A 13851-nucleotide genomic window follows, 5' to 3' on the forward strand; every position below is an offset into this window, starting at 1 on the left:
TGGATAGAACTTATTGAGTACTTACTGTGCTAAGCAAAGTTCTAAGAACTTTATATAGATAATCTCATTTAACCCTCACAATAACCCTGTGAGGTATGGAGTATTATTATTCCCAAAGTATGGATAAGGAAGTCAAAGCATAGAGAGGTTAAGTAACTTGCCCAAGATCACATAGCTGATAGGCAGCAGAGGTAAGACTTGAACATAGTCAGGATTGAAAGTCCATGCCCTTAATCACTACAATGTACTTGAAGGAGTTTGTCATAGAAAGCTGGAAAAGCTGGATTCCCTGAGGGGTTGCCTTGAATGCCAAGTGTTTGCACTTAATCTTTCTGCAGAAAAAAAAAGGAATTATAACGAAATACCTGTTTCTATATAAACAAAGCAAAGCAAGGGCAGAGAAGCTCTCAAGACAAAGTCCAGCCAAATAAAGGGCTGCAGCCTCCTCACCCCTTGGGGTTCTCTGCATGTTTCACTTCCACGGCAATCATGTGATCAAAGCAGAAACGTTCTTTTAGTTGTGGTGAGAAAGGTGGACTGGAAGAAGGGAAGAACAGTCGGACGCTAGCGCCAGAGGCAAAGCAGGAAGTGACGAAGGCATGCAGTACGTGGGAGCTGCAGGAAGGCTGGAACAGTGGAGGTGGATGGTAGAGCAATGGAGAAGGAAGGGTCAAAAGGCTTTGATGAACCATTAGAGAAAAGTAGTCGTTACTGGTTGTGGCTTAGGTTAACCTACCATGAACCCATTTTCTGACCCAAGAACTGGGCTGACAGGTCCCCATAAGAGTGAGGCAGAATGTCTGAAGCTATCTCTGCTCCAGAAAGCCAAGGACAGTCTGTCTTTGTGTTTGTGCCTGTCACCTTCTGCATGCTTCTGGGAAAGGAGTTCCTTTGACCAAGGAGCCCTCCTGGGGAAGGCCTGTCCAGAGACTTAGAACCAGAAGAAAGACAGGACACTAGGAGAGGCACAGATCCTCCCAGAGATCAGCCTTAAGAGCCCCCCCAGACTCTCCTATGTAGAAATCTACATGGGATTCCCCTGGCATTTATGGAGGGCACTTCCTATTTTAACGAGATTTCATATGTATTACCATCCTTGATTCCATTCACCCCTTCCAAGAAAAAACAGAGCCATGGGAGTGTGGGACAAAGAATGAGCATTTGTTAGAGGCTGACTCTCTTCCAGGTAGCATGCTCTGTACTCTCCTGCAGCTGTTTTAGATCATCCTCACACTCCGTGGGACAAGCTTTTACTCCCCCCACATTAAAAATGAGGACTTGAGCTCCAGTGTGATGAAATGACTTCTCATGATCATACAACCAAGAAGGAATAGGCTAGAGATGGACACTGCCTTTGCCTTTTCCCTGGGACAGGAAGGCAGACCTAACCTCACCATCTCACAGGTAAGGAAATATTCAAGGCCCCAAAACACCATGGAGATCAATACCAGAGCGAGACTAAAATCCAGAGCTCACAGTTTCTAGTCCTGTGTTCATTTTGCGTTTCATTATGTTATTTGAGCACATTTGTGTTTTGGCAAGTTCAGCTCCTTAAGGAAAGGGTCCAGGTCTTTACAACTTGACATCCCCACAGTGGCCAACACCATGGATGGCCTCTGAAGACATGAAGCATGTATCGCTGATTTGTGGAATGAACCAACTGCTATAACTCATCTCTTTGGTGCCAACGTCTCACTTCTTCAATTCATTCTTCATGCCACTTCTAAAAGTACGGTGCTAAAGCGTTTCTCCTCTTATTCAACAAATGCAATCCTTTTCCACCTTAAGACTCAGCTCCAGAGCCATCCTCCCTATGAAGCCTTCTTCAATCTCACCGTGATAATGCCCTGTCTCTGCCTCTCCCACGCTGCTTGACTAGTCCCTCTGCTATACATTCATGGGCGGCTCCTCCATGACATCATCCATTCCTTGAGGAACTGTCAGTCATCTCTGTACTCTGAATAAACATTGATGAGCAAACACATAAAGGAATGCATGAATGGGTGGATGGACTCGTTAATAAATAAAGACATAGAGAAATGACAAGATGGAGAGGTGAAATATTGGGACTTAGTAGTTAAAAGCAGTGGACTTTATGTCAGAGCATCCAACCCTACACAGAGCTTTACTCCTGACTTGCTGTGGGATCTAGATAAAGTCACCTCCCCTCTCTTGGCCTCTTTTTGCTTGTGTTTTAAAAGAAAGAGTTAGAGTAGAATTGCTGCAACTCCCCATTCTCTAATTCTGTGAATGAAAAGTTCATCCTTGGACAAACCCCATTAACGGATGTTTTGTATCTCCTCCCTTGAAAACAACAATTGTCCCTCGACTAGCATCTTATCTGAAGCAAACCTTCTCTGCCTCATCCCCACCAGAAGCTTTGCTATCTCTTAAGGGACCTCCTCAGGGTGTTTGTGAACAAAAGCGAGTGTCTTATCTGGTCACTCTCTCCTGCACTATCCTGCCCTTGGAAAACATGAATGGATTTGCCGAAAACATAGCCTCTGATAGTCTTTCCACCCCAGGAATGGCTAGAAAGGCAGCCTCGGCTTTCTTGGAAAGACTGTGTAATTTCATGCTACTATCAGGGCTGACAAGGAGGCAACCCCTAGCCCTGGACCCTTCAGCTAAGTTCAACTCCAGGTCAAGTCAGGGGCCCCCAGCAGCTCAGGGGCACAGGATCCACAAGGAAGAAATTCCAGGATGTTGCCAGAAGCTAACAACAGTTCCCAGCTGTTCCCAGTCGCCTCTTGCCATTGAAGTAGTTTGGAGTGGGGGTCTTCACACAGACACAGCAGAAGGAAGGTCAAATGAATGACTGTGCCTCTGGGCCAGGGTGGAGGACAGGCCAGTGAGAACAGAAGCCTCTTTGTTATTGGCAGCTCCTGCACATGGCCCCCTAGACCCTTGACGGAGACCTCCCTCTCCCCCCAGATCTTGGGGACCTTGACATCGGTGGTATTTATGCAGCTCTCCTCATGTCATCGTGGTAAAACTGCTGCTTGCGGCTTGCCTACGGCCTGGAGCCTCGCTCTGCAATTCCTTTTGGAGCACATGCTGTGAAACTCTCTTATTAAAAGGTAGTTCCAGAACTGATCTCCCTTGAGTGGAACAAAAACAACATCTATCTTAGAATTGATTTTGTGCGGAATGCCTGCTCCCGCCTCCCCACACCTCCCCACCCACCCCCATTCCCCCAACCCCACTCTTTGTCTGGCAAGCTCCTGCTCATCATTCAGGTCCCAGTTTTGATGTCCCCACTCAGAAATGCCTCCCCTGCCCACCTTTCACAAACCAAATTATGCCCCTCCTCTTAACACATTCATCCATTTTGCCTGGTTTTTTTTCCTTCCTAGAACTCACTACAGCTTGTACTTGTGCATGTGTGTGTCTGTGCAGTGATTATGTCTGCAACTAGTACTTCAATCTCCTGATGGTAGAAGCTATGTTTGTTTTTTCATCACCAAGAACCCGCACACCGGCCTAGTACACTGCAAATGATCAACAAATAGTTGTTTTTTTTAAAAAATGAATAGATACATGAATGAATGAATGAATGAATGAATGATTTAATATAGAAGAGTATTATCTTCAGAATCCTAGAAGAGATATTTTACATTTATTAAGAGTTATGAAGCCCTTAATACATGGTATCTTAACTGTTTCTTTATTTTTATGTAAAAAATATATATAAATGAAGATGAAGAAGATACTTGGTCCCCAAGGAGTTCACAGGCTACTAGGGGGGCCGGACATGTAATTTGTCAATTCCAAATGCTGTGTTCTCATACATCCTCACCTGTGGGGTAAGCATTATGATTTGCATTTGACAAGGAAACATTAAGATGCTCAGAAACATTAAGTTTTTTGCTCAAACCACAGAGCTAGTGAGTGCCAGACCTAGAAGCCAGGTCTCCTGAATCCTGGGACAAAAGGTGTTCCACCAGCTGTCCTCCTGCCTTCTGGACTTGGCCTGCTTTTCAATTCTTGCATTTGAAAGCAGACAGGTCCAGAATTCTGGGAAAACACACTATTCACCAGGAGTGACTCTGGCAGGACCAGGAGGTGGTCTTGCTTCAGGAGTCTGACACCCTTCTCCCTGTTCCAAGCTAGGTACTAACTCATTCTGAGAGGGAAGCTTGGGCGACAGCTGTGAATGCCCATTCTCACCCCCACTGAGCTGGTTTTCACATCTTTCCTGGGTCAAGGGATTTTAGAGGGCTTGTGCTGAAGAGGTTTCCTTTGAATGTCAGCAACCATCTGAGGGGAGAATGTTGGCCATTAGCCAATGACTCCAGGTCTACTCTACTTGGTTATGTCAACACTCCAAAGAGAAGATAAGTTCTGGATGGATGCAGTGGCTCACGCTTATAATTCCAGCACTTTGGGAGGCTGAGGTGGGTGTGGGTGTTCAAGACCAGCCTGGGCAACATGACAAAACCCTGTCTCTACAAAACACACACACACAAAAATTAGCTGGGCACAGTGGTACATGCCTGTAGTCCCAGCTACTGGGGAGGCTGAGATGGGAGGATCACTTGAGCCAGGGAGGCAGAGGTTGCAGTGAACAGAGATCACACTACTGCACTCCAGCCTGGGTGATAGAGTAAGATCCTGTCTCAGAAAAAAAAAAAAAATGTTCTGACTTAGAAACTGCTCCCCCAAGAGCCAACTTGATGAGCACCTATGAACAAGTTTTCTATACTGCAAAGCACAAACCTTTGAACTCACAAAACCATGTTATTTGGGGCAAGTTACTCAAATTCTTTGAACCTTACCTTCCTAATCTGAAAAATAAATTCTTATGATACTTGTGAAGATTGAATTTGATGAATCATATACCACCTTGTATCATGTGATAGCTCTCACCATCATCCTCTGGTTTTTTAACCTTCATTTTCCTTCTCTATTTCTTACTCCATCTTTCTCTTGGTCCTTATCTCATTCTGTTATTTTTTGGACATTTCTCATATTGTGAAGGTCCTTTAGGTTCAGATCATCTCCTCTGGAGAGTAACTTCCCACCTCCCTGTGGTCAGCATGCAGGAGAGTCCAAAATAAAGCACAATTAGAATTTCCTGGAAGAGTTGAGAACAGGGAATTTTTAACTCATTCTTGACAATAGAGTGGAAGGTTTCTGGTTTGAGGAACATGCAAGGGCTCTCTGAGCATAGTGTTGGGGTGCCCCATTTACGTAGTGGATCTTGAGAGAGGAGTTGGGCCATGGAGCTGGGCAGAGGAAGATGAGACTCACAAAGTTTCACAGGGCCATCATGGAAGCTCTAGCTAGCACCTGGAACGCCCTCCCATGGCTATGGAAGGAGTTTAAGCACAAGAGTGTAATATCACATCTGTGTTTGATGAAGATGAATCCCATGCTGGCCATGGGAAGGATGGATAGGAGACAAGAGAAGCTAGAGACAAAGACACCAATTAGGAGGTTTTTAAAGTGAACGCTCACAACCATGGCAAGGCAGAGAGCCCAGACTAAGGCAAAAGACAATGAGGATAGACATATGGCAATGGATCAAGAGTCACACCTAAAACACCAACACCACACACGGGACTTGGCAATTGATTTATGCAGGAGGCAATAGAAAGAGCATAAAAATGCTCCTGAGGTTTCCAGCTCGGGAGGTGAGGTTTCCAGTGTCCCTGTTAAGAGAGATTTGGAATGCCAGAGACACACCCACAACAGGAAGAAACAATGAATTTAGTTGGTGACATGTAGTGTTTGAGTTATTTATGGGACATCCCGGTGATGTCCAAAAGGTGTGCAGCAAGTGGATCTGGAGTGGAACCGAGACATCTGGATTGGAGATATAGTTTGGGGGCCATTTGGCATGAAGGTAATAAGATAATATATGAGTGAATAAGAACACCATTAGGATAGAGTCCCTACTTTAAAAAATAAAAGTAAAAAAGCTGAAACACTGGCATTTAGAGAAAGACAAGCCAGCCAAGGAAAGCAGGAAGGAATGGACAGAGAGAGGGGAGAAGAAGTAGGAAAGACTGAGAGGGCCGGGTGAGGGTAAAAGGAGGAGAGAAAGCAGCCATATGGCAGTTATGCAAATTCATATGTTGAAATTCATAGAACTGTACACCAAAATAAGTCAAATTTTTGTACAATAGTTTTAAAAAATAAAATTAATAAAATACCAAAAGAAGTTCTTTATGAACCTACTTACCAGTGGAGGAAACCACTGTCAATACTTTGGCAGATTTCCTTCTAGTCTTTTCTATTATACACTTTTTGAAATGAAATTATATGTGCTATTAACAAGTACAAATGTCACCTTTCTCAATTTATATTAAATTGTTCTAAAATTCCATGTGTTAAATAAATAAAGTGGTACAAATACGGGAAAGGAAGGAAGGAAGGAAGGAACGAAGGAAGGAAGGAAGGAAAGAAGGATTGGAGGGAGGTGGGAGAGAGGGAGGGAGGGAAGGAAGGAGGAAGGGAGGGAAGGAGGGAGGGAGGGAGGGAGGGAAGGAAGGAGAAAAGGATCATAGATATTGCTGAACCCAGCAGAAGGGAAAGGTATGAGAAGAGGATATGGTTTCTTTCAAATTCATTTTAAATCTTACCTAAAGCTTGGACATATACATCCATTTAGAAAGCTCTTGCCCCATTTTTCAAAGAAGGAACAAGAAAAAACTTACTTTTTTTTTTGGAAAGGGAGGTGTGGCACTTCAAGTCACTGTCTAAAACTCTCTTACATGTAGTAACATCTCCATCTGCAGGACATGAACGATATCACCGTACAACTTAAGGAGGTTGTTCAACTTGGCAAACGTACAACCCCAATAAACATGGAGGTTTGAGGAGCCTCTCAGTCCAGAACCATGTAGCAACATAACCCAGCAGTACCTTCACCCTGTCCCCTCCCCTGTTAAATACTCCACTATCCCTGTAGCTATAAAGACTTAAATATTAAACATACTACCAGGGAATATTGTGTTCTGAACCCCATTGAAAGCAAGGGGGACTGGATGTGATTTAAGCCATCTTATGGCAAAAGGGCAAGTTGGTATATAACAAGCGTTGGTAGAAAATGAAGGACTCCCAAGTTCCAGGCCCAGCCCTGCCGCTAGAATGGTGAGGCCCAGAGATCCTCCTAATGAGATCGTGGGCTTTGCCAGCATTTAGATGACGATGTGGGGTTTACAGCATGGCAGTGCTCCCCCACGTAGCCTTCATAGTAATTATGTTGATTTGTTTTTCACATCCAACTCCCTGTCTCATCTCCCAGTTTGTCAATAACAAAGTAATAAAAGAGGTGTGATTAATTAGCATCTTCAAAGTTTGCATCTTTCCAGAGAGTGTCTGCTCAATAAAGAAGGCATGGCCAGGCAAAGCTCATTAGGGAAGAGGAGGGGACCTCTCAGACCTCACTGGAAGAAGCTGCTTGGAGTGACCCCATTTTCCCTTACCCCCTCCTGTGACCCCACATATGTGACCACAAACCTGCTTACACAGAGATGAAGCCCCATAGCATTTCCACTTTTGGGTCTTTGACTGCGGCTCTCTCATCACATGAATCACCCACTGACATTCTCTCTCATCATATGAATCACCCACTGACAGCCCCAGGAACAGATGAGGCTGTGAGATTCTCAAAGAGAAAAATGAGCTTAGAGCCCCAAACTCCTGGGGTTGGTCCCATGTAAGCACGACACTAACATGGTTCTTGGGCCCAAACTGCAGCAAAGTAAACAGATGTGGGCTTAACAGCCTCCAGGAATGGAGGAGGCAAGGGGAGAAGGGATAAGCAGTTGTCAAAGGCAAGGATGAGAGACAGAAGAGAGACAAGGGACCCTTGCTACCCACTGATTTAAAGGGCCAGGTCCCAAACCCTAAGCACCCATCATGAGTCATGATCATAATCTCACACTATCCTTAGAAATGGACAGTAGCACCTGAACCACCATTGATGAAAGCCCAGAAAAGCTGGATCCTTTAAATAATCAGCTCTTTGGGGTAAGGAATGGAGGTTGCCATGTATTTTTAATGGATAGAGTATACAACTGTTGAGTGCCTACTGTGTACTCTTGCTGCCAACACTTGAAATGAATATTTTTATCTTATATCTTATACCTACATGAAGGGAGAACTTCACACTAGACGCTCTATTCACCAAAATACTCCATAGAAATTTTTAGTAAAAGAGAAAAAGTTTAATTTCCTGCTTACTAGAGAGGTAAGCAAAATGCCAGTTCGTTTAATTCTTGGGATCGATCATCTTTCTAACATACCTAATTCCTTTTCTCTCAATAAATTACTACACTCAGATAAACTAACAAGTTGTTGATTTTTGATGTTCTATGCTTTCATTAATATAGTGTGTTTATTTAGTTCCTAGAAGTGCTTGGACACTATATAGACATACACAGCAAGTACAATGGTCAGTAAAACATTCCAGCTCTGTCCTTCTGGAGCTCAGAGCCATGGAAGGTGGCTTCATGGTGAAGGCCACAGGCTCTGGGACCAGACAGCCAGGGTTCCCATCTGCTACTTCCTAAGTGGGTGATCTAGGGCATGATGCTTAATCTCTCTATGCCATATTTTTCTTAAGTGGAAAATGCACATAATAACAGTACTGAGCTCATGCAGTATGGTATGTATTAACTGTGGTTGTGGTAAAGAGCCTAAAACTGTGCCAGATACATGGTGAGCATTTAATAAGTGTAAATGATTATCATCAGGTAGCAAGCTCTGAGGGTCGTTCCAAATTAATAACTGTACTGAACAGTGCAGAATATCCAGTTTAAAAGGGGAGGAGATTACCCTGGAGAGTGCACTGACTCAAAATTCTCCTTGCATGTTGGGGTAGGCTGAACAATGCCCCTCCAAAAGATGGTCATGTCTTAATCCTTGGAATCTGTGAATGTCACTTTATATATAGACAAAAAAACTTTGCAGATATGGTTAAGGATCATGAGGAGACTGTCCTGAGTTAGCCAGGTGGATCTAATATAACCACAAGGGCCGTTATAAGAGGCAAACAGATCAGAGTCAGAAATAGAAGAAGGGATGTGACAGTGGAAGCAGAGGGAGAAAAGGTCATGTGATGTGGGGCTATGAGCCAAGGGATGTGGGTGGCCTCTAGAAGCTGGAAAAGGCAAGGAAGCCTACAGATGGAATTCAGCCCTATAGATACCTTGATTTTAGCCCCTCAAGATTCATTTCAAACTTCTGATCTCCAGAACTATAAGAGAAGACATTCATGTTGTTATAAGCCACAAAGTTTGCGGCAGCAAATACAAATGCAAAGGTGAATAAGAAAGTAATCTTATTTCCTTTTACTATATCTCTTTCGAAAGGCAGCATGATAGAGTTGAAAGAGCACGGGGCCTGGTGTTTGAAATCTGTTTCTACAAATTACTTTGTGTCTTTAGATAAGTTACTTAACCTCTCTGAGCCTCATTGCTCCATCTTGAAAAGGAAGATAAACATACTCATTTCAAGTGATGGCTGCAAAAGTAGGCCCTCAATAGTCGTATCACTCTTACCATTAAAAATATTTGGCTCTCTCCACTCCTTCCCCCAAAGAGCTGACTATTTAAGAATCCAGCTTTTCTGAGCTTTGTTTAATGGTGGTCACAGGCCACTGTCCATTTATAAGGATTTGACTTCTCATTGTTATTTGAGTTTGGGACTGAAAGTTTAGATCTATATTATCATTTGCCAGAGATAATATTTTAATTTGTTACTATGTCCTGCTGATACCTTAGCTCTACCCAACCTCGCTTCCCACCCCCTACTCATGAGAATCAAAGACCCCCTGGATGACCACCTGTTCTCTGTTTTAAGCCACCTTGTCATCAGCACACCAGTTCACCATCTCCTCACTGGTAAATTAGAGAAATATGTTCAGAATCTTTCTTTCGTTGGCGACAGGGTCTTGCTCTGTTTCCCAGGCTGGAGTGCAGTGGCATGGCCACAGGTCACTGCAGCCTCAAACTCCCCAGCTTAAGTGATCCTCCCGTCTCAGCCTCCTGAGTAACTGGGACCACAGGTGTCTGCCACCAAGCCCAGCTAATTTTTTAATTTTTTGTAGGGACAGCATCTCACTACATTGCCAGGGCTGGTCTCAAACTCCTGGGCTCAAGCGATCCACCTGCCTCAGCCTCTCAAAGTGCTAAGATTATAGGCATGAGCCACCATGCCCGGCCAACTTCAGAATCTTAACCTGCCCTTGGAGATATTATGATGATGACCAGTGTGATGGCTACTGGGCACTGCACTAGAGCCTGTGTAAGAGGATGGAGTCTTTTTATCCCTCCCATTCTTTTCCTGGGAGGGTGTTTCCAGGCTTAATATAATAACATGCTAGAATTGAGTAACAGGAGGTAATCAATATTAGAAAAAAAAAAACATAAAATTTCTTGTGTAGATGTTCCACTCTTAGTCAAGGGAAAGTCTTCTCCTACAATGCCCCTACCCCTTCTCCCTCTTTGCCCCCGACTCTAGCTGCAAAATGGCCTTACATGAGCTAAGGCTCTCATCCTAGCCTAAATGTCAAGGAAGAACGAGATGGAACCAGTGGACCCAGAGGATGAACTCTTAGTGGGGAGTGGGCAGAGGCAGAGAGGTGCGTCATGGGGCTGCTGGGGGAGAAAGAATAAAAGAGATAGCTCATGGCAGAGGGCCTCAGGGATGTCCATACCTGCGTGAGAAGGAGAGCTCCCTCTCACCCTTCCTCTAAACTCTGTCTCCGTGCATGGTCATGAAATAGTATGGTTTTCATCCTGGTAATGAAGTGCACTTTTCCATCTTTGCAAAGGTTACCGGCAAAGCAAAGACACTGCCAGCATGCACATCATTTCATTTAATCCTCACAAGAACCTGTGGAGAGGGTTATGTCATTCTCATAACGTAGTTGAGGATTGATATCCAAGGACCACTGTGTCCAAGATAACCAGCTAGTCAGAGCCAGGATCCACACCAGCTCAGCCCAGCTCCAAAGCTCATGCTCTTTCCAGGCCTGGCCCCACCACTGCTGCTGAACCTTGCAGCCCTTCCCATACCACCCCGCCCCCACCCAATAACATGGCCTCCAGAGCTGAAAGCATTTCCAGGGCCTCTTCCAACAAGGCCCGAGAAACCCTGGGTGGTCTAGAAACCTTGAAGTGAACATTGAGTTTTATCCTGGAACAAATGAAGAGCTGGAAGTAAAAGGTCCTTCACAAACTGGAAACAGCTGGGCCCAGCTGAGGAGTAAGATCAAAATCACCTCTCCATGCTGCACCATGCTTCAGGAAGAGGCGTATCCATCACAGTGTCTTGGAAGTAGGCCAGGGGTGTCTGCTGAGAAAGGGTGCCGCTGGTCTGCACAAGTGTGGGGAAGGGGGGACTCAAGGATCCTGGGCAGCTGCTCAGGGGAAGCTATGTTTAACAGCAAGGACTGCAGAAATGCCCCTGGAGCTCTGTGGACAGCTGGAAACAAGGCCAATTTGCAAACATCCAGGGTCATCCCTGCACACACATGGAGATAGAAGGCAAGGAAAGAAATGGCTGTTCCTGGAGCACCTACAATGTGTTGTAGGCGCTAAGCCATGTGCTTTCACAGATGCTGTCTGAGATAGTCCCAGAGCTCTTCAGGGTCAAAAGCCCCTTCTTTCCCAGCCTCCACCAAGACTGAAGCACCCTCCACGACAGCCTGTTCTTGAGCCAAAGTTCAGTTCTGTCCTGTACTTTTTCTTTAAACTGAGCTGGACCACACCACCCAGAAGAGGCTATTTTGTCCTGAACCTCCTAGGTTCATATTTATGATCTTTAGTACACATAGGAATCCCGCTTTCCTAGGTCTAGGCAGGGGGCTGATGATCTTTAGTACACATAGGAATCTTTAGTACAAATCTTTAGTACACATAGGAATCCCACCTTCCTAGGTCTAGGCAGGGGGCTGATGATCTTTAGTACACATAGGAATCTTTAGTACAAATCTTTAGTACACATAGGAATCTTTAGTACACATAGGAATCTTTAGTACACATAGGAATACCGCCTTTCAAATCTTTAGTACACATAGGAATCCCACCTTCCTAGGTCTAGGCAGGGGGCTGATGATCTTTAGTACACATAGGAATCTTTAGTACAAATCTTTAGTACACATAGGAATCTTTAGTACACATAGGAATCTTTAGTACACATAGGAATCCCACCTTCCTAGGTCTAGGCAGGGGGCTGATGATCTGCATGTTTAACAAGTATCCCCAGGTGATGTGTTTAAGTGGGTTGTCCCCAGAGCACACTTTGAAAGCATTTCTTCTTTTCTAGGCCATTGTCTTAAAGCCACTTTTTTGGGACCAACACTAGCATGTGGCCCTACTGCCCTCTGCCCTCAGAACTCCCTGCTTCTGCCCTGATATCCAGGCCAGCTTCCAGCATCTTCATTTCAATAGCCCCTTGGTACAGCCTCCATGCACAGAAATGTGGGTTTTGTACCTCCCAGGTCACCTGACTATATTCCATCAGCCAAGCCATACACACTGACAGGTATGCCTGCAGGAGGACCCTTTATAAATTTGTCTTGCCCCTGTGAATTTCTCTTCTTGGCCTTCTGGATCCCAGCTCTCCTCTCAACCCTCAGTGCTTTTCCCCTAGCCCACCCCACGCCCTCCTACTCCACCCTTGGCCCCAAAGAACTCCATCATCTGAGCTGACTCCTTGTCCCCTAAGACTACGTGGCAAGGGAGAGAGTCTTAAGGTCTCCAGAAGTTCTCAGGTGTCATACACAAATGCGGTCTGGCAGGAAGGAGAAATTGAGCAAGTAAGTGCTTTTCAGAGTTTACAAAGGAAGTAGGCCAAATGGCAGGAGAAAATTCAATGATGATGGAAATCTGACATGGAAGCCAAAATTAGCCTTCTGGAAAAAGGATGCTCCTTTAAGTTTCCAGTCTTAGCTTAAAGTTTTCTATGGATCATGCATCCTACTCCATGCTAGAGCTGTGTTAGCTTGAATGTGAAATGAATGTCTTAAATAGGTTATGGCTAAAGTGGAAAAATGAAGAAAACCTGTGCCTTTCTCTATGATATGCTTAATTCTAGAGGTTAGGTTTTCATACTCCGAGACAGAATAAAAAACCTCTAATCCATTTCTCAGAGATGCCTAGGAAGAAGAAGGCGAGGTGAATTTGGTTGTAGAGAATGGAGGGGCGAGAGCCCAGTGCATGAAATGAGCCAGTGTTTCAAGGGCTCAGTGATGAACTTGGGCTTCGAAGAAAAGGACATGACAGGAAGCCAGGTGATATGGACAGCACAATCTGCCATCGCTGGTCCTGTTAAGGGAGCACAGATGCAGTAGAAGATCAGAGTGTTGTGTTATTCACTAACAATAATTAGCACAGAATAATGTTAGTGCAGAAAAAAATGATACCCCCCCAAAAAGAAAATCATCTTGCTCAGCCCCACATTTTACAGATTGGAAAACTGAGGCCCAAAAAGAAGGAACCTACCCAAAAACATTGGCCGGGCTGGTCATCTACAGCAAAGATGAGAACAGCTGCCCAGTGAGCCCTGATGCTCCCCAGCCCTGAGCATCTCCCTTAACAGTATCTGGCTTCTAATTCATCACGAGGCTTCAAGGGCTTCTGTGTTTGGCACAAAAGTGCAGCACTTTGACCTGCAATAAATCACTGCAGCTAATGATCTCCTTGCTCCTTGTGACTGTCTGTGGACAGCCTGTTCTCACTCACTCATGCAGTAAGACAGCTGAGGCCACTGCTTGCCTTGAGGGAACCAAGAGAAAGGGGGCATCAAAAGGAGGAAGCTAGATTTATATTCTTTTCCCCTCTCCCTCACCTCCTGTTCCTTCCTTCCTTCCCTCCTTCCTACCTCCTTCTCTCC

General features: G+C 44.8%; 3 annotated features.

Annotated features, from left to right (window-relative positions):
- Positions 851-3066: an enhancer, noted in NCBI's record as "fragment used in the MYC e7 reporter construct". NCBI's record gives its function as "activates a MYC promoter by reporter assays in K562 erythroleukemia cells {active_cell/tissue: K562}" and the evidence as "EXISTENCE:reporter gene assay evidence [ECO:0000049][PMID:27708057]".
- Positions 1884-2643: a transcriptional cis regulatory region, noted in NCBI's record as "e7 or intergenic|chr8:130704425-130705465 region (GRCh37/hg19 assembly coordinates) targeted for CRISPR interference". NCBI's record gives its function as "positively regulates CCDC26, MYC and PVT1 gene expression in K562 erythroleukemia cells {active_cell/tissue: K562}" and the evidence as "EXISTENCE:mutant phenotype evidence [ECO:0000015][PMID:31784727]".
- Positions 2335-2577: a silencer, noted in NCBI's record as "fragment chr8:130705155-130705397 (GRCh37/hg19 assembly coordinates)". NCBI's record gives its function as "represses an EF-1alpha promoter that drives an FKBP-Casp9 reporter gene in an ReSE screen in phorbol 12-myristate 13-acetate-treated (for megakaryocytic differentiation) K562 erythroleukemia cells {active_cell/tissue: K562(+PMA)}" and the evidence as "EXISTENCE:reporter gene assay evidence [ECO:0000049][PMID:32094911]".

This window comes from Homo sapiens, chromosome 8 (assembly GCF_000001405.40).
Source record: "Homo sapiens chromosome 8, GRCh38.p14 Primary Assembly".
In the NCBI taxonomy this organism is placed as follows: domain Eukaryota; kingdom Metazoa; phylum Chordata; class Mammalia; order Primates; family Hominidae; genus Homo; species Homo sapiens.